The following is a 20,301-nucleotide window of genomic DNA, read 5'->3' as shown; positions in this document are numbered from 1 at the left end:
CATTACATGGTCTAGCCATGCTCACTGGATGAATGGAAGAGGTAGGATGGTGTTGGTACTCAGAAACAATACCCCAAAATCAAGGCCTCAGAAATAGCTTCAGAAGCAAAAGGTTTTCTCTGATCTCTGCCCTCCTGTCTTTCAAGGCCATTCTCCCCCAATGTTAATTATAGAAACTAGAATCCCCCTTTCCCAAGGTAGGTCATAGAAACCAGAATCTGTTTTCCTCAAAGCCAGCCATAAAACCTAAAAATATTACTATAACTTTTCCCCGCCTTTCTTTGTCAAAACTGGCCATAAAGAAATTATCTGACCTACTTTGAGATAGGTCATAAGACCCCCATTCCTGAAAGGGTCCTGCCCCACACCCAGAAGGAGGGAATGCATGCTCAGAGCGCACATTTCCTTGTCAATTTTGTCTTTAACCATTTCTAAGACTTTTGTTATATACAGACAATTTTTAAAAGTTTTTTCTTTTTTATTACTGATTTATTGCTCTTTTTAACATTTATTTACGTTTTGGGGTACATGTGAAGGTTTGTTGCATAGATAAACATGTGTAATGGGGCTTTGTTGTACATATTATTTCATCACCCAGGTACTAAGCACAGTATCCAGTAGTTACCTTTTCTGCTCCTCATCCTTCTCCCACCCTCCCCCATCAAGTAGACCCCAGTGTCAATAGTTTCTTTCTTTGTGTTCATATGTTTTTATTATTTAACCCCACTTATAAGTGAGAACATACAGTTTTTGGTTTTCTGTCCCTGCATTAGTTTGCTAAGAATAGTAGCCTGTAGCTCCATCTGTGTTCTTGCAAAAGACATACTCTTGTTCTTTTTTATGGCTGCATAGTATTCCATGGTGTATATGTATCACATTTTATTTATCTAGTTAGTCATTGACAGGCATTTAGGTTGAGTCCATATCTTTGCTGTTGTGAATAGTGCTGCAATGAACATTCACGTGTGTGTATCTTTATGATAGAATGATTTATATTCTTCTGGGTATATACCCAGTAATGGGGTTGTTGGGTTGAATGATAGTTCTACTTTCAGCTCTTTGAGGAATCACCATACTGCTTCCCACAATGGCAGAACTAATTTACACTCCCACCAACAGTGTATAAATACTCCCTTTTCTCCACAATCTTGACAGCATCTATAATTTTTTGACCTTTTCATAATAGCCATTCGGACTGGCGTGAGATGGTACCTGATTGTGGTTTCAATTTGCATTTCTCTAATGATTGGTGATACTTAGTTTTTTTTTATATGTTTCTTGGCCTCATGTATGTCTTCTTTTGAGAAGTGTCTGTTCATGCACTTTGTCCACTTTGTAATAGATTGTTTTTCTCTTGTCAATTTGTTTATGTTCCTTATAAATTCTGGATATTAGACCTTTGTCAGATGCATAGTTTGCAAATATTTTCTCCCGTTCTGTAGGTTGTCTGTTACTCTGTTGGTAGTTTCTTTTACTGTGCAGAAGCTCTTAAGTTTAATTAGATTCCACTTGCCAATTTTTGCTTTTGTTGTGATTGCTTTTTTTGTCTTTGTCATGAAATCTTTGTCGTTTCTACATCTAGGATGGAATTGCCTAGGTCGTCTCCCAGGTTTTTTAATAGTTTTAGGTTTTACATTTAAGCCTTTAATCTATCTTGAGTCGATCTTTGTGTATGGTGTAAAAAAGAGGCCCAGCTTCAATCTTCTGCATATGGCTAGCCGGTTATCCCAGCATCATTTATAATAGGGAATGTTTTCCCCATTGCTTGTTTTTTTCAGCTTTGTTGAAGATCAGATGGTCATAGAAGTGCAGCTTTATTTCTGGGCTCTCTAGTCTGTTCCATTGGTCTATGTGCCTTACACAGACAATTATTGCTTTACTTTGATACTTCTCACAAAGCAGTTTATAATCAGCTACAGTCCAAATTTGCTTCTTTAAGGAAATTTGTGAAAAGAACTCTGACAAATACTCTCAAATACAAGTTAATGATAACTTTGGCGATCATATCATTGGAATGGGTAAAAACTTCAAGTATTCTAATTAAAAAACTAATGTGTTCATAAAGATTGCCAATCCAAGATCACACAGAACAGGAGTTTATGATATGGGACTGAACTACCAGAAGATTAAAATGATTTTCATCATGACCTTTTTGTTTAAAGCATTGATGATTATTTTTATGTTCTATTTTCCAGAGTCAAGAAAACATTTTTCCTTTAGACTATTTTAGATTACAAAAATTGGGTAAAATATACTTTTGTAAGCAAAATTGAAACATTTATATTCTTCTCTATCTGATTTCTCCATAATTTGGAAACTATTCAGGATAAATGTTGATTTATGACAATATTGCTATTTGTATAAATTCAATTAGTATCTGCTTTTATTTGTATCAGGACAAAATTGGAGATACTGGTTACTTTACCAAGGTTTTGACTGGAATGGCACATTTTCAGATATGACCAGACTGGCTTGAAAAATTATGGTTAAATTTGTAGAGCAAAGAAAAAGCCCCTTAGAAAGACTGTCCTTATATCTTCTCTTCATGGTTCCTTCACAAGGTTCTTGACCTGATGTAAGTAAAGAATGTCACTTTCTGACATACACAGGAACCTTAAGATATTTTTGAACCTTGAGAAGATAGGAATTAATCCAATTCATGTTATAATCATAGTTTAATTACAAATCCTTGGCTTGGCTTCCTAGCCTTGAGGCTTTTAAAAGTCTAATCTGAGATTCCTTATAAAGAAGTTCCAAGAAAGCAAACTTAAAAAGAGCTTATATAGCAAGTCACTACTCTTGTTGTACTTTATGCAAATAATCAGACCAAGTATAATGAAACTACAAGTATTTTACACAGAAATTTTTTTCAACTGTGTTTTGCCTTTGGTGGAAATCGGGTATTGGAGGAAAAAATATGTTTCAAAAGAAAACTATAGTATACAAGTTACTAGATTTCACCTTGCCCATTGTTTTTGATTTTTTATTATTTTCCCACAATTTAGACAGAATCCTTAATTATTTCCTGGCTACAAATCTCTAAACGAATGCTTTCATTTTTAAAAAATCTTTCTTAGAATAACTGAAATTAAAACTGCTTTTCCCAGAAGTCCTACAAGCTAAAACTAGATAACTTAGTATAAACTTTGGAAAAGAATCATCATTACAGCAACCTTATGTATAACTGTTTACCTGGTCTGGCCTACTCTCGGGATTGATAGACTGGTTCTCTCTCTGTCCCACTCTCCCGCAATGTAAATCATAGAAACTAGAATTCCTGCTTCCCAAGGCAGGTGGCAGAAACCGAACCCATTTTTCCTAAAGCCAACCATGAAACCTAAAGATATTACTCTAACTTTCCCACACCTTTCTTTGCTAAAACAGGCTATAAAGAAATTATCTGGCCTACCTTGCTTGGCTGTAGGTCATAAGACCCCTATGTCAGACAGGGTTCTGCCCCATACTCAGAAAGAAAAAAATACATGCTCAGAGAGGGCCAAGAAAAATCTAGGCAGACAGGGCTTTCTGGGTTCTGTCACTCAATCTATTCGCATTAGGTTATATACTTTTTGTCCAATCATATTTCTACATAGCTGTTTATACTTTGTTGAACCTAAGCATAAAAATGGACAATTTTCTCTGTATCTTTGGGTCTTCATTTTGAAGGCTTTCTTGCCACATAGAACTATTACCAAATCCAGCTGTATGCCTTTTTCACCTATTAATCTACCTCTTGTTAGTAAATTTCAGTGAACCTGCAGAGGGCAAAAGGAAAGATTTTCCTTGTCCATGACATTGGCAAAAAGAAAAGTTATTTTGAGAAGAGTTTATAAATTAAGAGGTCAGAATAATGGACAAATCTTGAATGTGTATATTAAAATTTTAAGAATTATGTTAGTTGCAGTATTGAAGAGAGTGTCAATAATCCAGGACAAATATGTAACTGTTTCTTTCAAAAATGAGTGTTATTAGGGAGTAGCAGGGGAGAAAGACATGGAATCTGCAGTAAAGTGTAGAATATCTACCTCTAGTCACAGTAATATAGAGTGTGGGGGGAAAAAATCACCAGTTGAGAGGATTGCAGAATAAAATCTTTTGTAGGGTGAGTCAGGTTTAGAGCAATAAGGTAAAAGGAAATTTCAAGATGAGGTTGAGATTAAAGGGAATTTTGCAAACGATAGACCATGAATTAGAGTTTCAAGAGTTAAACAGGAGTGGGAGAATGGGATAGATTAGGGAATACACAGAGTCTTAGAAAACTGAAGTGTAGAAGATGAGGGAATACATGAATGTTTCCATTTTGCTTGTGAATTTTGTCTTAGATGACCTAAAACAATGACAATTTTAAGAGTAATACCTGTGGAGGCAATGAAGAAACTGGCGGAAAGGCTATCAGTATTAGCGGTGATGGGGGCAGAAAACATGAGGGAAGTGAGGTTCTGAGATAGTGTCTAGATCTTTTCTTGACTCTTGTAATAGTGGTGAATGTTCTGTGGGTCATGTAGTTTAGACCAAGTGTATTCATTGTCCCTGGATCTCTCTTGTCAGAAAATTAATCTCATTCCCAGTATTGGTTAATTATTGATTCTCTCTGGTGGACCATCCAGAAGACTTCTGGGAAAGGCTGAGTGAATCAGACACGATATTTGGTGTTCTAGTTCTGGCATTTACTAGGTGTATCAGTTGGCAAGTTACTTAGTGCCTTTGAAATACACTTCCTTAACTACTGGAGAAATGGAAGTAATAATATTTATCTCCCCAGAAATGCTATGAATGGTATTACTTTCTATGGTGTCTGACATATTAGTTGTAAATTCAAATTACATTTCCTTTTTGTTCAATCTAGCTTTAGATTGTGGGATTTCCTGTAGGAAGCCCTCAATTTTTAAGCAGTAAATCTGGATGTCTTTAAGGGAAAATTTCAGTGTTCAATGCACTGAACTTATGTCCTTGATCTGGAAAAATTTTGAAAGTGCAGTTGCCCCATGGCCAGTATAAGATACTAGCTCTTATAACGTTTAATTTTGAGCATCACTTCCTAGCAGTGAACCCTTTAAGAAAACACGTCTGCATTAATTTTTGTATAAGGTGTAAGGAAGGGATCCAGTTTCAGCTTTCTACATATGGCTAGCCAGTTTTCCTAGCACCATTTATTAAATAGGAAATCCTTTCCCCATTGCTTGTTTTTGTTAAAGACTTAAATGTTAGACCTAAAACCATAAAAACACTAGAAGAAAACCTAGGCAATACCATTCAGGACATAGGCATGGGCAAGGGCTTCTTGTCTAAAACAGCAAAAGCAATGGCAACAAAAGCCAAAATTGACAAATGGGATCTAATTAAACTAAAGAGCTTCTGAACAGCAAAAGAAACTACCATCAGAGTGAACAGGCAACCTACAGAATGAGAGAAAATTTTTGCAATCTACTCATCTGACAAAGAACTAATATCCAGAATCTACAATGAACTCAAACAAATTTACAAGAAAAAAACAAACAACCCCATCAAAAAGTGGGCAAAGGATATGAACAGACACTTCTCAAAAGAAGACATTTATGCAGCCAAAAGACACATGAAAAAATGCTCATCATCACTGGCCATGAGAGAAATGCAAATCAAAACCACAAGGAGATATCATCTCACACCAGTTAGAATGGCGATCATTAAAGTCAGGAAACAACAGGTGCTGGAGAGGATGTGGAGAAATAGGAACACTTTTACACTGTTGGTGGGACTTTAAACTAGTTCAACCATTGTGGAAGTCAGTGTGGCGATTCCTGAGGGATCTAGAACTAGAAATACCATTTGACCCAGCCATCTCATTACTGGGTATATACCCAAAGGATTATAAAACATGCTGCTATAAAGACACATGCACATGTATGTTTGTTGCGGCACTATTCACAATAGCAAAGAGTTGGAACCAACTCAAATGTCCAAAAATGACAGACTGGATTAAGAAAATGTGGCACATATACACCATGGAATACTATGCAGCCATAAAAAATGATGAGTTCATGTCCTTTTTAGGGACATGGATGAAGCTGGAAACCATCATTCTTAGCAAACTATCACAAGGACAAAAAACCAAACACCTCATGTTCTCACTCATAGGTGGGAATTGAATAATGAGAACACATGGACACAGGAAGGGGAACATCACACACCAGGGCCTGTTGTGGGGTGGGGGGAAGGGGGAGGGATAGCATTAGGAGATATACCTAATGTTAAATGACGAGTTAATGGGTGCAGCACCCCAACATGGCACATGTATACATATGTAACTAACCTGCACATTGTGCACATGTACCCTAAAACTTAAAGTATAAAAAAAAACTTCATTGAATATGGAAAAAAATAAAAAGTCACTTTTTCATTAAAAAAACACATCTGCAAGATAAAATGCAAATAATTAAATATGTGTATTGTTAAATAACATGCAAAATATGGCTGTGTGATATTTTGGACTTTAATTTAATGTATCTTCATTCCTTAGTATGCTAAATAAATTAATACTTTTTGAGTCAATATTTACTGGATATGTATTACAAATCTGTATTGAGCTATTAACACACAAATATATTAATACTGTATACTCTATGCCCTTGAAGAATAGTTTGTTTTTCCAGATGAGATTCACAATAGCTTCAGCTATTTCATGAGACCATTCCTAGAACATGATCAAAAGGCCATGCAACAGAATATAAAATCTGCTCTCTTACTTTGCTAAGGTAAAAGGACATGCATTTAAATTGTTCATATATGAGGGCAAAGTGAATAGAATGGCTTGGCCTGTCTCCTCCTTTGTTCTTAAAATGATAATTCTCTTAATGTAGTCTAGGACATTTGCTGGTCTGGGAGAATATATCACCATGCCTAACCACTGAGTGTACTGTTGCCTAAAATCCCAAAGGTGATTTTTTTCTTTTATTTTTACACATGTTGATGCTAAGCAACTTTTCCCCATTTTCTTGTGCAACTGGATTTCAGTACATTGAGTTCTACCACAGTTTCATTCTTAAAGTTAAAACTAAATAAATTACTGAATAAAAGATTTTAAAATATATCTTTACATGAGACATACAAATGAATTAATACTCACAGAAAAGAATAACAGTGATACTGCTGTCAAAGAGAAGTCAACTCTTTATATACATGTATGACCAATACAAATAAGGGCATGTGATCTTGAAGACAGGTACATACTAATGTGTTTTTTTTCGGGACTTTTATGAACTGGGTTGCTTTTACTATTCGAACAAGCTTTAACTTGGTTTATGTGATATTTTAGGTGAAAGAACAGTCTTTCTGAGATGCATGCTGGGTAATTGATTTTTTAAATGATGTGTATTAGGTTGGTACAAAAGTGATCAAGGTTTTTGCCATTGAAAGTTATGGCAATAATGCTAGGTTATCCCTACATATTTTAATACATTAGTTAAAATGACAGACACATAAAGCAAACATTGAATTGTATAAGGCAAAAAGCAAACCCTTCACTTTACACATTTCACCTGATATATCTTTGATTAATCTTGGTATATAGAATTATGTCCATTTCTCAGGCAAAACATTGGTTACAGGTCTAAAAGAATAAGACTTCAAAAGGCTTTCTAGAAAAACAGTACACTTGTTCTTCTTTCTGCTCATTTAAAACATGGGTTTTAATGTGAAATTATATAATGTAAATAAAGAGACAACTGGAAACAAAAACTAGAAAATAAGTGCATCTTGAATTTTCATTTTGAAAAATATGAACTTTTCCCACATTTAACGCATATTTGTTAAAATGAGCAAACAGGTCTGGACTTCCAGACTTTTAGTTTTCTATAAGTTTTCCTCTCTCTCTGTGTGTGTGTGTGTGTGTGTGTGTGTGTGCGTGTGTGTGTGTATTTCAGTGTATCAATAAAATTAAACTTACTGAATTTTTTTACTGCATATTTTATTCTATGCAGCATTTCTATCCTTTAATATATCTTAGAGAATATGTGCTCCATATACATTCTCAGAGACTGTGTCTACATGGAATAAAATTATCTACAAACTTGACTTAAACTTTTGAGAGGTGTTACTATCAAAATTTTCATCCATCAATTAAATATATTGTATAATAAGGAAACTATTAAATGTATAAACATTTCAGATTGCCAATAAACCCTGTATGTATCATTATCCTATATCTCCTTGTTCCTTTTTTTCCCTGAATTTGTGTTGGCAGATTTTTGTATTAGATCTACTAATTTTTCCATAAGGGGCCCATCTCATTGTATGTTTGACCCAATCCAGTTTGAAGCATAACATGTTTATTTTACTTAATTTGCTTTTGCTTCTCACTCTTTCAGTCTTATTACAATCAGCCAATCAGTACAGGTGATGCCATTATTTGTTCTAATACTCCAAATATTGATTTTCTTAGTTCCTCGCTGATTGCATTCAAAACCTCAGTGTGCTCACCCACCCTTGCTGTCATTAGTCTTACCTAGTTGTTTCTGCAACCACACTGGTGAAGATCGTCTTTCCCATACACCTCTTATTCCATATCAGAATGTCTGCTCCCTGTCCTGCTAGGCTTTAATCTCTATCTCTAATCTTTATTAACAGAAGCAAGCAAAAACAGTTTTCTGTAATTTCAGAAATAAGATTGGGCTGCTACTCATGTGGTCTCAGGGTGCTTCTGGGTCATTAACGTAAGCTGAAGCACATTTTTTTAATGTAATTTTTCCCAGTATAGCTGAGATCAGAATATATGTTTCAAAGTGAATTAAATGAAAGCTTTTCCTTTATTAATTCCTTTTTATTTTCTTTAGTTTCATTTTTTCTTTTTTTTTCTATTTTTATTCTGTTATTTGAATACTTGAACACTTGAAGTAATTAATGTAGCTGTTATTCCTCTTTTTATATGTACTTAATTAGGTCAGTGATACTGTGGGAGGGAGCCTGGTTCAAGTGTTTCAATAATATATTTTTGAACTGGAAGCTTCTAATTCTATTTCACTGACCTGCAAGGTAGAGAAGTCTATATACACTCCATCTTCCTTTTAGGTTCTTATCTCCTGTGAGAAGGAACTCAAACAAATACAACTACTTGCTCAAGAATAAATAATAACATATAGGATCAATAAAGTCCAAATCAATTTTTATAAAACAAATATTAATATTTCTCTACAGAAAATATGGTATACAGTACTGCATTTCTGCCTCCCACATGATGGAGAATAAACAGAAGTTCTCATTCTAGATTAATAAGCCCAACCTACTTTGTGGTTTAATAAATGTCAAGGTACCTGTTTTGTTGTGATGATAACTGGGGAAGGGGTGAGTATTTTCAAAGCTACTGGCGTGTTATGGCAAAGTGGGGATAAGAGCAAACTTAACGCTTCCTGCAATGTTTTGAATGGCCTCACACAATAAATAAAATGCCTCACATAATGAACACAGTGAAGAAACTGACACCATTGGAATACACTATAGAACATACGTACTTTCTTCACATATTTTTATAACCCCATTGATTCACCTCCTTATTTATTTTCTTGTTCATTTACTCTTGTGATGGGATCCATTTGCTTCAGACTCTACCAGATACATTAGGTTTTTAGAGACCTCAGTATGAAGTTTCAGTAAAGGCTTTAGATGCACAATTAATTCTTTCCTCTGACCAATTAGAAATTCAGATGAGGAAGGTATTTAGTCCACAAACTTGGAGAAACAAGAAGTAATTACACTAAAACAATGCTTTCAGTCAAAATACTTCCGATGCTGAACTGAAATCCTGACAAATAACATCCTTGGGATAAGGATATCTATATTTAGCATAGTCATTTACGATGCCATTTGGACTTCGACATGTCAAGTGAGAAGGGTCCACCTGACAAATGGAGTTACAAAAAATTAGAGACATAATATGCTCTGGCCAATAACTCAGATGAACCTTGCGGCAAGGGCTGTCAGTCCAGATGTCTCCAGTTATCCCACAGATTTGTAGGCCCCTACTATTAGCAAACATCATACAACGGTCTGGAATTCCATGAGGGACCATGTTTGGAAAGACCCATGTGTTATTCTTTACATTATAATTAAGGTGGTTACTTAGAGGATGCCACTCCCATTGGGACTTCCAATCAGAAGGAGAGGCTAGATTCTGAAAGCTACCCACTAGGGTTTCTGATCCTTTTAGATCACCCTTGTTGTGCTTTCCTCCCCTAATCTTTGAACTATCAGCAATTACAATTGTGATGTTACAATATCTGAGATCTCCCAAGGATGGTCCTTTCTCACTGCTTTTAAAGCAGAGGGAGGCATTTGCTATTGCCTGGTCAACTTTTCCCAGCCTGAGGGTGTGAAGCTTATCTTTGGGGAGAGTGTTCTTTGACACTGGGGGCAGAGTGTTCTCCTGAGAGGACTTAGTTGTCCAGTAGAAAGTGCTCCCATACCATGTCCCATTTATGCCTGATAAGTCTTTAAGGATTAAAGGTAAAGCTAACAAAGGGAACCCTAAGATGGTGAGTTCTGGGTCATTGAAAGTTTCCTTAGTGTCATTGAACTGAACAAACTGCTAAGGACAGACCCAACAATTAGTCTTGTTGTACAAATGGACCATGGCTGATACTGTAGGAGCTAAACATTGTGATGTATTACTAAGTCTGATAAAAAAGTCCTATCAGACTTAGTGATAGTAAACTGCTTATGTTTACTTTCTGTTAGTAACTGTTATTCCTGTTATAAGGATAATAATTAAGCAAAATGCTACAGTAATTGAGATTCTCTGTTCGATATTCCACCCTGAGGTGCTACAGTATATAGTCCTACTGCGAATAGTAGAGTGAGTATAAGAATTCCCACAAGGGGGGTGTAGTAAATAATTACCATCAAAAAGAAGTTAGAATATTTGGGAATGAATCTCAAAAAGAGAGGTAGGAAAGACAAAAAGCATTTGGTGAGGTAGGGATGAGACTGAGTGAGATGAGTATTTCTCACTCAGTTACTTACCTTTTGTGATTTTCAGCTTAAGATATCCTATTTCTTCACATTGATATTCAGGACGCTCCTTTGGGCTGTCAGGGATCTCTCCCTCAGCTCTCCAGGCTTTGACTCAAGTGTGATGTATCCAGCAGTCGACTCCCATAATTTTTATTGATGAGGGGTTTGAAAGAAGAACAGTGTAAGGCCCTTCCCATCTTGGCCTAAGGGAGGGAGAGAGAGAAAGGAGAAACTTTATCAATACGAAATCTCCTGGGTTAAATAGAGGTGGTCCCATTTCCTGGGGTTGGGCTTTTGCTAATTGTGCTAATTCTTGTTGGAAGTGAGCGAGAGAGATTACATGCTTAACCAGCTCAGAGGTTTCCTGATCTAATAGAAAATCATTGGTAAGAAAAGGTTGTCCATAGAGCATCTCAAAATGGCTAAGACCTAATTTTATCTTTTTATTATACTTTAAGTTCTAGGGTACATGTGCACAACGTGCAGGTTCGTTACATATGTATACATGCACCATGTTGGTGTGCTGCACCCATTAACTCGTCACTTAACATTAGGTATATCTCCAAATGCTATCCCTCCCCCCTCCCCCCAGCCCATGACAGACCCTGGTGTGTGATGTTCCCCTTCCTGTGTCCAAGTGTTCTCATTGTTCAATTCCCACCTATGAGTGAGAACATGCGGTATTTGGTTTTTTGTCCTTGTGATAGTTTGCTGAGAATGATGGTTTCCAGCTTCATCCATGTCCCTACAAAGGACATGAACTCATCCTTTTTTATGGCTGCATAGTATTCCATGGTGTATATGTGCCACATTTTCTTAATCCAGTCTATCACTGATGGACATTTGGGTTGGTTCCAAGTCTTTGCTATTGTCAATAGTGCCACAATAAAAGAAATAAAGGTAATTAAATTAGGAAAAGAGGAAGTCAAATTGTCCCTGTTTGCAGATGACATGATTGTATATTTAGAAAATACCACCATCGTCTCAGTCCAAAATCTCCTTAAGCTGATAAGCAACTTCAGCAAATTCTCAGGATACAAAATCAATGTGCAAAAATCACAAGCATTCTTATATACCAATAATAGACAAACAGAGAGCCAAATCATGAGTGAACTCCCATTCACAATTGCTTCAAAGAGAATAGAATACCTAGGAATCCAACTTACAAGCACTGTGAAGGACCACTTCAAGGAGAACTACAAACCATTGCTCAATGAAATAAAAGAGGACACAAACAAATGGAAGAACATTCCATGCTCATGGATAGGAAGAATCAATATCGTAAAAATGGCCATACTGCCCAAGGTAATTTATAGATTCAATGCCATCCCCATCAAGCTACTAATGACTTTCTTCACAGAATTGGACAAAACTACTTTAAAGATCATATGGAACCAAAAAAGGGCCTGCATTACCAAGACAATCCTAAGCCAAAAGAACAAAGCTGGAGGCATGACGCTACCTGACTTCAAACTATACTACAAGGCTTCAGTAACCAAAACAGCATGGTATTGGTACCAAAACAGAGATATAGACCAATGGAATATAACAGAGCCCTCAGAAATAATACCACACATCTACAACCATCTGATCTTTGACAAACCTGACAAAAACAAGAAATGGGGAAAGGATTCTCTATTTAATAAATGGTGCTGGGAAAACTGGCTAGCCATATGTAGAAAGCTGAAACTGGATCCCTTCCTTACACCTTATACAAAAATTAATTCAAGATGGATTAAAGACTTAAATGTTAGACCTAAAACCATAAAAACCCTACAAGAAAACCTAGGCCGTACCATTCAGGACATAGGCATGGGCAAAGACTTCATGTCTAAAACACCAAAAGCAGTGGCAACAAAAGCCAAAATTGACAAATGGGATCTCATTAAACTAAAGAGCTTATGCACAGCAAGAGAAACTACCATCAGAGTGAACAGGCAACCTACAGAATGGGAGAAAATTTTTGCAATCTACTCATCTGACAAAGGGCTAATATCCAGAATCTACAAAGAACTCAAACAAATTTACAAGAAAAAAACAACCCCATCAAAAACTGGGCAAAGTTTATGAACAGACACTTCTCTTAAGAAGACATTTATGCAGCCAATAGACACATGACAAAATGCTCATCATCACTGGCCATCAGAGAAATGCAATTCAAAACCACAATGAGATATCATCTCACTCCAGTTAGAATGGCGATCATTAAAAAGTCAGGAAACAGCAGGTGCTGGAGAGGATGTGGAGAAATAGGAACACTTTTACACTGTTGGTGGGACTTTAAACTAGTTCAACCATTGTGGAAGTCAGTGTGGCGATTCCTGAGGGATCTAGAACTAGAAATACCATTTCATCCAGCCATCCCATTACTGGGTATATACCCAAAGGATTATAAATCATGCTGCTATAAAGACACATGCATACGTGTATTTATTGTGGCACTATTCACAATAGCAAAGAGTTGGAACCAACCCAAATGTCCAACAATGATAGACTGGATTAAGAAAATGTGGCACATATATACCATGGAATACTATGCCGCCATAAAAAATGATGAGTTCACATCCTTTGTAGGGACATGGATGAAGCTGGAAACCATCATTCTCAGCAAACTATCACAAGGATAAAAAACCGAACACCTCATGTTCTCACTCATAGGTGGGAACTGAACAATGAGAACACATGGACACAGGAAGGGGAACATCACACACCAGTGCCTGTTGTGTGGTGGGTGGAGGGGGGAGGGATAGCATTAGGAGATATACCTAATGCTAAATGACGAGTTAATGGGTGCCGCACACCAACATGGCACATGTATACATATGTAACAAACCTGCACGTTGTGTACATGTACCGTAGAACTTAAAGTATAATAAAAAAAAAAGTGGATTCCACAGTCAGAAATTTCTGTTTTCCTTTAGAGATAACAATCTTAAAAATAGTTAACACATCATTTTTCTAGTTCTTTTTTTTTTTTTTTTCTGCCCAGGCTGGAGTACAGTAGCGCAATCTCAGCTTACTGCAAGCTCCGCCTCCTGGGTTCACGCCATTCTTCTGCCTCAGCCTCTCTAGTAGCTGGGACTACAGGCACCCGCCACCACGCCCGGCTAATTTTTTGTATTATTTTTAATAGATACGGGGTTTCACCGTGTTAGCCAGGATGGTCTCGATCTCCTGACCTCGTGATCCACCCGCCTCGGCCTCCCAAAGTGCTGGGATTACAGGCGTGACATTTTTCTAGTTCTATACCTCCCAATCATGTAGCATTTTATTGCAGTTTGGGTTGTTATTTTCTCTACTCTGTAAAACAATGATTACTAAAGTCACCATCAATATGTTACTTAATCCAATAAGAATTTTCTAGTCATCATCTTACTGAATGTCATGACATCATCAAAAAGTTTTAGTCAATATTTTGTAAACACTCATCCCTCAGTTTCCATGGTACTACAATAAACAAAATGATGCTATTTCTCTAATTTTATTGTATTCAGTTTTGCTGTCCTTTCGTTCTCCTAACTTATGAAATATTGGAATTCATCTAGCCTTGGTACTAGGTACTCTACTCTTTGTCCTATGTTCTCCTTATGAGCAATGCTTTCAACTCTTTTGGGCTTGTATCTTGTTTTTACACTAAAAGTATGATATCAATTGTTTTCATCTTAGTCCCCTCTTCTACACTCTGTATATAAAACTTCTACCCTTTAATCTCTACTGGAACATTGAATTCATGATATTTTCCACATCTTTTTTTATTTTTCAGTCTTCTTCCATTGCAGTAAATGGCACTGCCATTTACCCAGTTATTCATACCAGAAACACTGAAGTCATACTTGAAATCTTCCTTTCACTGATGACATTTAGTTAATTACCAAGTCTTGCCATTTCTTATTCTGAAATATATTCTAGGTCCATTCCAATCACTCTACTACTAATGACAATAGAGCTTGGCCCCAGCTATTATCTCGTCTTACCAGCATGCTGCAACTGCTTAGTAAAAGATCTCTCAAGCACTTTTACACCATAAAAATAACTTTTTAATCATATATGCTGGATTTGCCATTTCTAGGCTCAAATACTTTGGTTACTTTTTGTTTCTTTAGCATAAATTTAAAAATCCCTAACATGGCCTGTAAGGTCCTGCATAATGCTGAGGTTTAACAGCTTTTTAAGCATCATCTCACCTTTCTACCCCTTTGTTTATTATATGTTTTTGCTCTCTCTGGTACATTGTTTTACCATTCCCTCTTTTGCAGTTAACTTTCTCTTTATCTTATTCCTGTCTTAAACATCCACACTAAAAAGCTATCTCTGAACATCTTTTGCCCCACTTTTTTCAAACCTACCTAGGCTAGCTTATTCTTTATTATATACTCTCATAGTATCTTATATTTTATAGTCATAGCGTATATGGTTTGGATGTTTTGTCCCCTCCAAATCTTATGTGAAAACATGACCTCCAATGTTGGAGGTGGGCCTAGTGTGAAGTGTCTGAGTCACGGGAGCAAATCCCGTATAAATGTCTTGGTGCTGCCCTCACAATACTGATGAGTTCTCACTCTTAGTCTGCACAAGATCTGGTTGTTTAAAAGATTTTGGCACTTCTTCCCTCCTTTTTTCTTGCCTCCTTTTTTCACCATAATGGTGATATGCAGGCTTTCCTTTGCCTTCTGCTATGATTATAAACTTCATGAGACTTTTACCAGAAGCAGATGCCAGTACCATCCTTCATGTACAACCTACAGAACGATGAGCCAAAAAAACCTCTTCTCTTTATAAGCTATGCAGCCTCAGGTATCTCTTTATAGCAACACAAAAAGGGACTCACAAAAATAATTCTTATAAAAATTATCTGATTATTTATTTAATGCTGTATTCTATACTACTATATCATAACTTAGTAAAGAACAAGATCACACTTGTGTAGTTCACTCCTGTGTACCCAGTGCCTAACTAGTGCTTAGCATTTATTCCTCATTCACCATATATTTATTTATAGTCCCTCTTTCAAAATCATCAGGTACAAATAATATTTTCTCAACAAATGTTGATAAAATTATGTTTATCTAAATAAATACATAAATTCAAATAATATTATACCAAGAATAATTGAAACCCCTAAGAAATCTGAGACATAGTTTGTGTCATTCTAGAGTTTATACTTTAAATGAAATGTAAATATGCACAGAATATGTTTGGGAATCAATTACACCACAATAAACCAACGAGAAAAATATACAATGCAAACTATATTCCTTTATTAGTTAGGGTTTTTCAGAAAAACAAACCATTAGGAAATGTATAATAATATTTACTCTAAGGAAGGGGCTCACATGATGATGAAGGAGGCTGGGAAGTCCTACGATCTGCCATCTGCAAGCTGAAGGAACAGGAAGTTCTGTGGTATAATTCAAAAACTTGAGAGCTAGAAAGTCAATGGTAGATTTCATCCAGTCTGAGCCTGATGTCCTGAGAACCAGGGTTGCTTTGTCAGAAGAAAGTTAATGTCCCAGCTCAAGCAGTCAGGTAGATAGGAGAGAATTCAACCTTCCTCTACACATTTGTTTTATTCGGGCCCTCAGGGATTAGATAATGTCCACCCACATTGGGTAGGGCTATTTACTTTACTCAGTCCATCAATTAAATGTTAATCTCTTCGAGAAACATCCTTATAGACACATTTAGAAATAATGTTTAACCAGCTACCTAGACTTCCGGCGGCCCAATGAAGTTGATACATAAAATTAAGCATCATATATCTCTATGATGAAATGAGAAGAGTATTTCCTGCAACTCAGCTCACTCCAAGAAACCTACCACATGACACAAACTAATAAATAAAACAACGCATAGAAGATAATAATTTATATATATTTTTTTCAGATTAACTCTACAGTAGGCCAGTTTTATATTTTGATAATATTGCTAAATTTTGCATCTGCTTATGTTAGGTTCTCTGTACATTTTTATACACAGAACATTTATTACTCTTAGGCACACAATAATATCATAGCAATAATAGTAGGCTCACTCAACTGGTTAGTAGATTACACTGAAAAATCTATACGCAAAGATTTGACCCCTTAAGCACATCAGGTGGAGCCACTTTAATTTATCATCACAAACTGAATATCTAAAATGGGTCAGTTTATTTTAGAATTCATGCCGGAGGTAACAATAGAGACCTGTGGCTCCAGCAACATAATTTTTCTTTAATGCAATTATTATACAACACAGGATTCAGAAGTGAGCAAAGACAAATCATCAGTGCAAACCCACTATAAGTATGAGTAATATCTCAAGATGAAAATTATTTTAAGCAGATAGTTTGGTGTAGAAAATGATACTATAAGAATATAATACTGCTCTTAAGAATTATAAGGGATTCAAAATATGCCAAATTTACCAGTGACTAAAAGGATATTCTTACTAGTAATTAGAGCCCAGGTAATTCCCAATTAGTTTATAGATTAAAAAAAATCCATGAGTAATTCTACCTCATAGCTGAAATTACTGACTGTGAATAAGCAAGATATGTGCAAGTGTGTATGTGTGCATGGGAGGGTTATTTGACTAACTCAAATACAACTCTGAAAATAGCATATACTTACAAGGAATTAGCTCATATGATTATGGTGGCTGAGAAGTCCCATTAATTGCTCTAAAGAGCTATATGCGATTCTATTCCATCAGTTTAGATATCATTTCATATAGTACACAAAATGAAAGATGACCTTTGAAACATTTCTGTACACACAACTATACATGTTTTCAACTTTATTCCTCACAGCGAGCTACACTGTCCAATATGGTCATCAATAGCTACAGTCCACAGGCGGATGTTTAGGGTTAAATTCAAATAAGAAAAATAAATAAAATTAAAAATTAGTTCCTTAGTCTCACTAGTCACATTTCAAGTACTCAATAGCTACATGTGACTAGAAGCTATAGTATTAGACAACGCCTATAAAAACGTTTCCATTTTCACTGAAGTTTCTGTTGGACAATACTGCTTTAGAGAAGATCTATGCAAGACAGTTGCATCAATTACAACTAATCCTCAATCTTTCTATATCAACAACTTTAATTTACATAAAGTATCTTGGGGCCTTGACAAGATTCCACAAAGTAGAAGACTACACATGTAGTCTGTATGTTTTCCTACACACATTTAAACACAATGTAATAGTATATGAAAACAAAAATTTACATTTCCCAAATGAGAAGTCGTTTTCACCTAATAACAGATTTTGAGCTATAAATTAAAAGTCAGTTTCTGAAACAGCAATGCCTGTGATTTATTTTGAATTTATCATCTTTCCAAGTTTCATACTTTTTTTGATTCTTGAAATCATTTTACAAAACTGAATCTTTTTATCTAATTTTTCTTATTAAGCTAATTTTCAGCAAGGAAATGCTAAAGTTTGAATTCTTAAGGCTTCACTACTTGTTATATTCTTTATCTGCTTAATGCATGCAATGCTGGAATAGCTTTGGACTTACAGCTCACCTACCGTAAAGCGTTATGCATTTGACTAATTTTTGTTCAATTATTATCCAAGATATACAAGGGGTTATACTAAAGGAACTTAAAATATTAGAAACAGCATAGATACACTGATGTACTTCATAACATGTTTGTGGTCATTCTAAAGTATAACACTCCTGAAACAGAGGCAACACTCAATAAATGAGGTAACATGCAATATAAAGAAAGGAATGAATAGATTACACAGTTTTGACTCTACAGTTAATAGACTAATTTCATATTTTTAAATATATTGCTAAGGTAGTGGAAAAATACAGATATATTTTTCAGGAGTCTGACAGAATTTTGATAAAGAAAAAGAGAAATAATTAATATGAAATGGATAAGGCAGAGACCTACCTGATTTTACTCAACAATTTTACTTCTGGAAAATATACTAAGAAGCTAATTTAAGAAAACAGAGATATGATACAGATATTTACCGTAATAATTTTAAGAGCAAGAATGTGAAAGTAATTTAAACATGTAAAAATATTAGTTAATAGTATCTCAAATGAATGAGATCAATAATATTATTATTATTAACAATCTGTGGAAATTCAGAAATGTATTTATGATAAAATCAGATAAGAAAATTTTCCATGTGACTGCAATATATGAATTTAAGTATAAACTTGGAGTTTTTGGCTTGGTCAGCAAAGGAAGAATAACAATCAGAGATATCTGCATCTTAATTAGAAATAATTAGTCCCTAACAACCAGGGACTTGTGATTTTTGAAATGTATTCTTAATGTTTTGTGCTCTGCTTAAAAAGTCATGACTAATGTCCAAATCACAAGGAAGCATTGAGATTTAGACTTTAACAGTGGTTCTTAATGCTTGCTCACTGCACCCATGCCCAATCCACCTACATTTCCTCAGGAATAGATATCCTCTAACCAGGATTTGTCAAAATCTTAGATGCTTGAAAGCACACCTAATTCTATCCTCTTGTTTGCCATTTCTTGAAATTCACTAGCACGTAAAGAAAGGAATGCATAAACATATACTTAACAGATTTTAGGATTAATTATTAGTGATAAAAATTACCTGAATACACATTTATTGGGTTCTGACATACCTGTGAGGCCATTTGTATTAGATTTTTAAAAGAGAGCTGTGATTATTTGGAATATTTAAGTCAAGACATGGGATGATGGTAGAGAGCTGAGTGTGTGCAGGTTAACACACTCTCTGGTGAAGTGGTAATGGGAGGGGCCGCTGGTGGAGTAACTGCCTTCTTGCAAAGGAAAAGAAGAATCTCATATCAGCAGACAAATGACAAAGTAGTCTGTCATTTGCTGTAGGAGTGTCAGAAATCTAAAGCTATTGGCTTCATAATAAATCATGCTGGAAGAAATTGTAGCACACATTTATTAAGCACTTATTAAACAAAGGTCTAAATATGAAAAATATGTACTGGAGACAAAAGGTAACTTTAAAAGAGTTATGGTAGGACATTATTGAGAACATTTGCATATGCATTCAACACTTTTTCATATTTTTTGAGTGCTTAATAGTCAATGTTCTAGGCACTTGAAACACATCTTTGGAAAAAATTAAGAACAACAAAAATCCCTACACTTCTGAAGCTTTCACTCTACAGGGGGAAGCTAGCAAATCGTAATCATAATATATAATTAGATTATAGGATATATGCATGGGTGATAAAATAATGGGATTAAAGCTTGAAAATAAGGAATTTGGAATGCTAGTTGATTGAGGGATGGTTTAAAATTTTAAGTAAGGTAGTCAAGGTAGGTCTTACTGAGATGACATTAAACCAAGGAAT

Source organism: Homo sapiens, chromosome 12, assembly GCF_000001405.40.
Source record: "Homo sapiens chromosome 12, GRCh38.p14 Primary Assembly".
NCBI classification, from domain to species: Eukaryota; Metazoa; Chordata; class Mammalia; order Primates; family Hominidae; genus Homo; species Homo sapiens.
Note: the sequence above shows the minus strand (reverse complement) of the source record.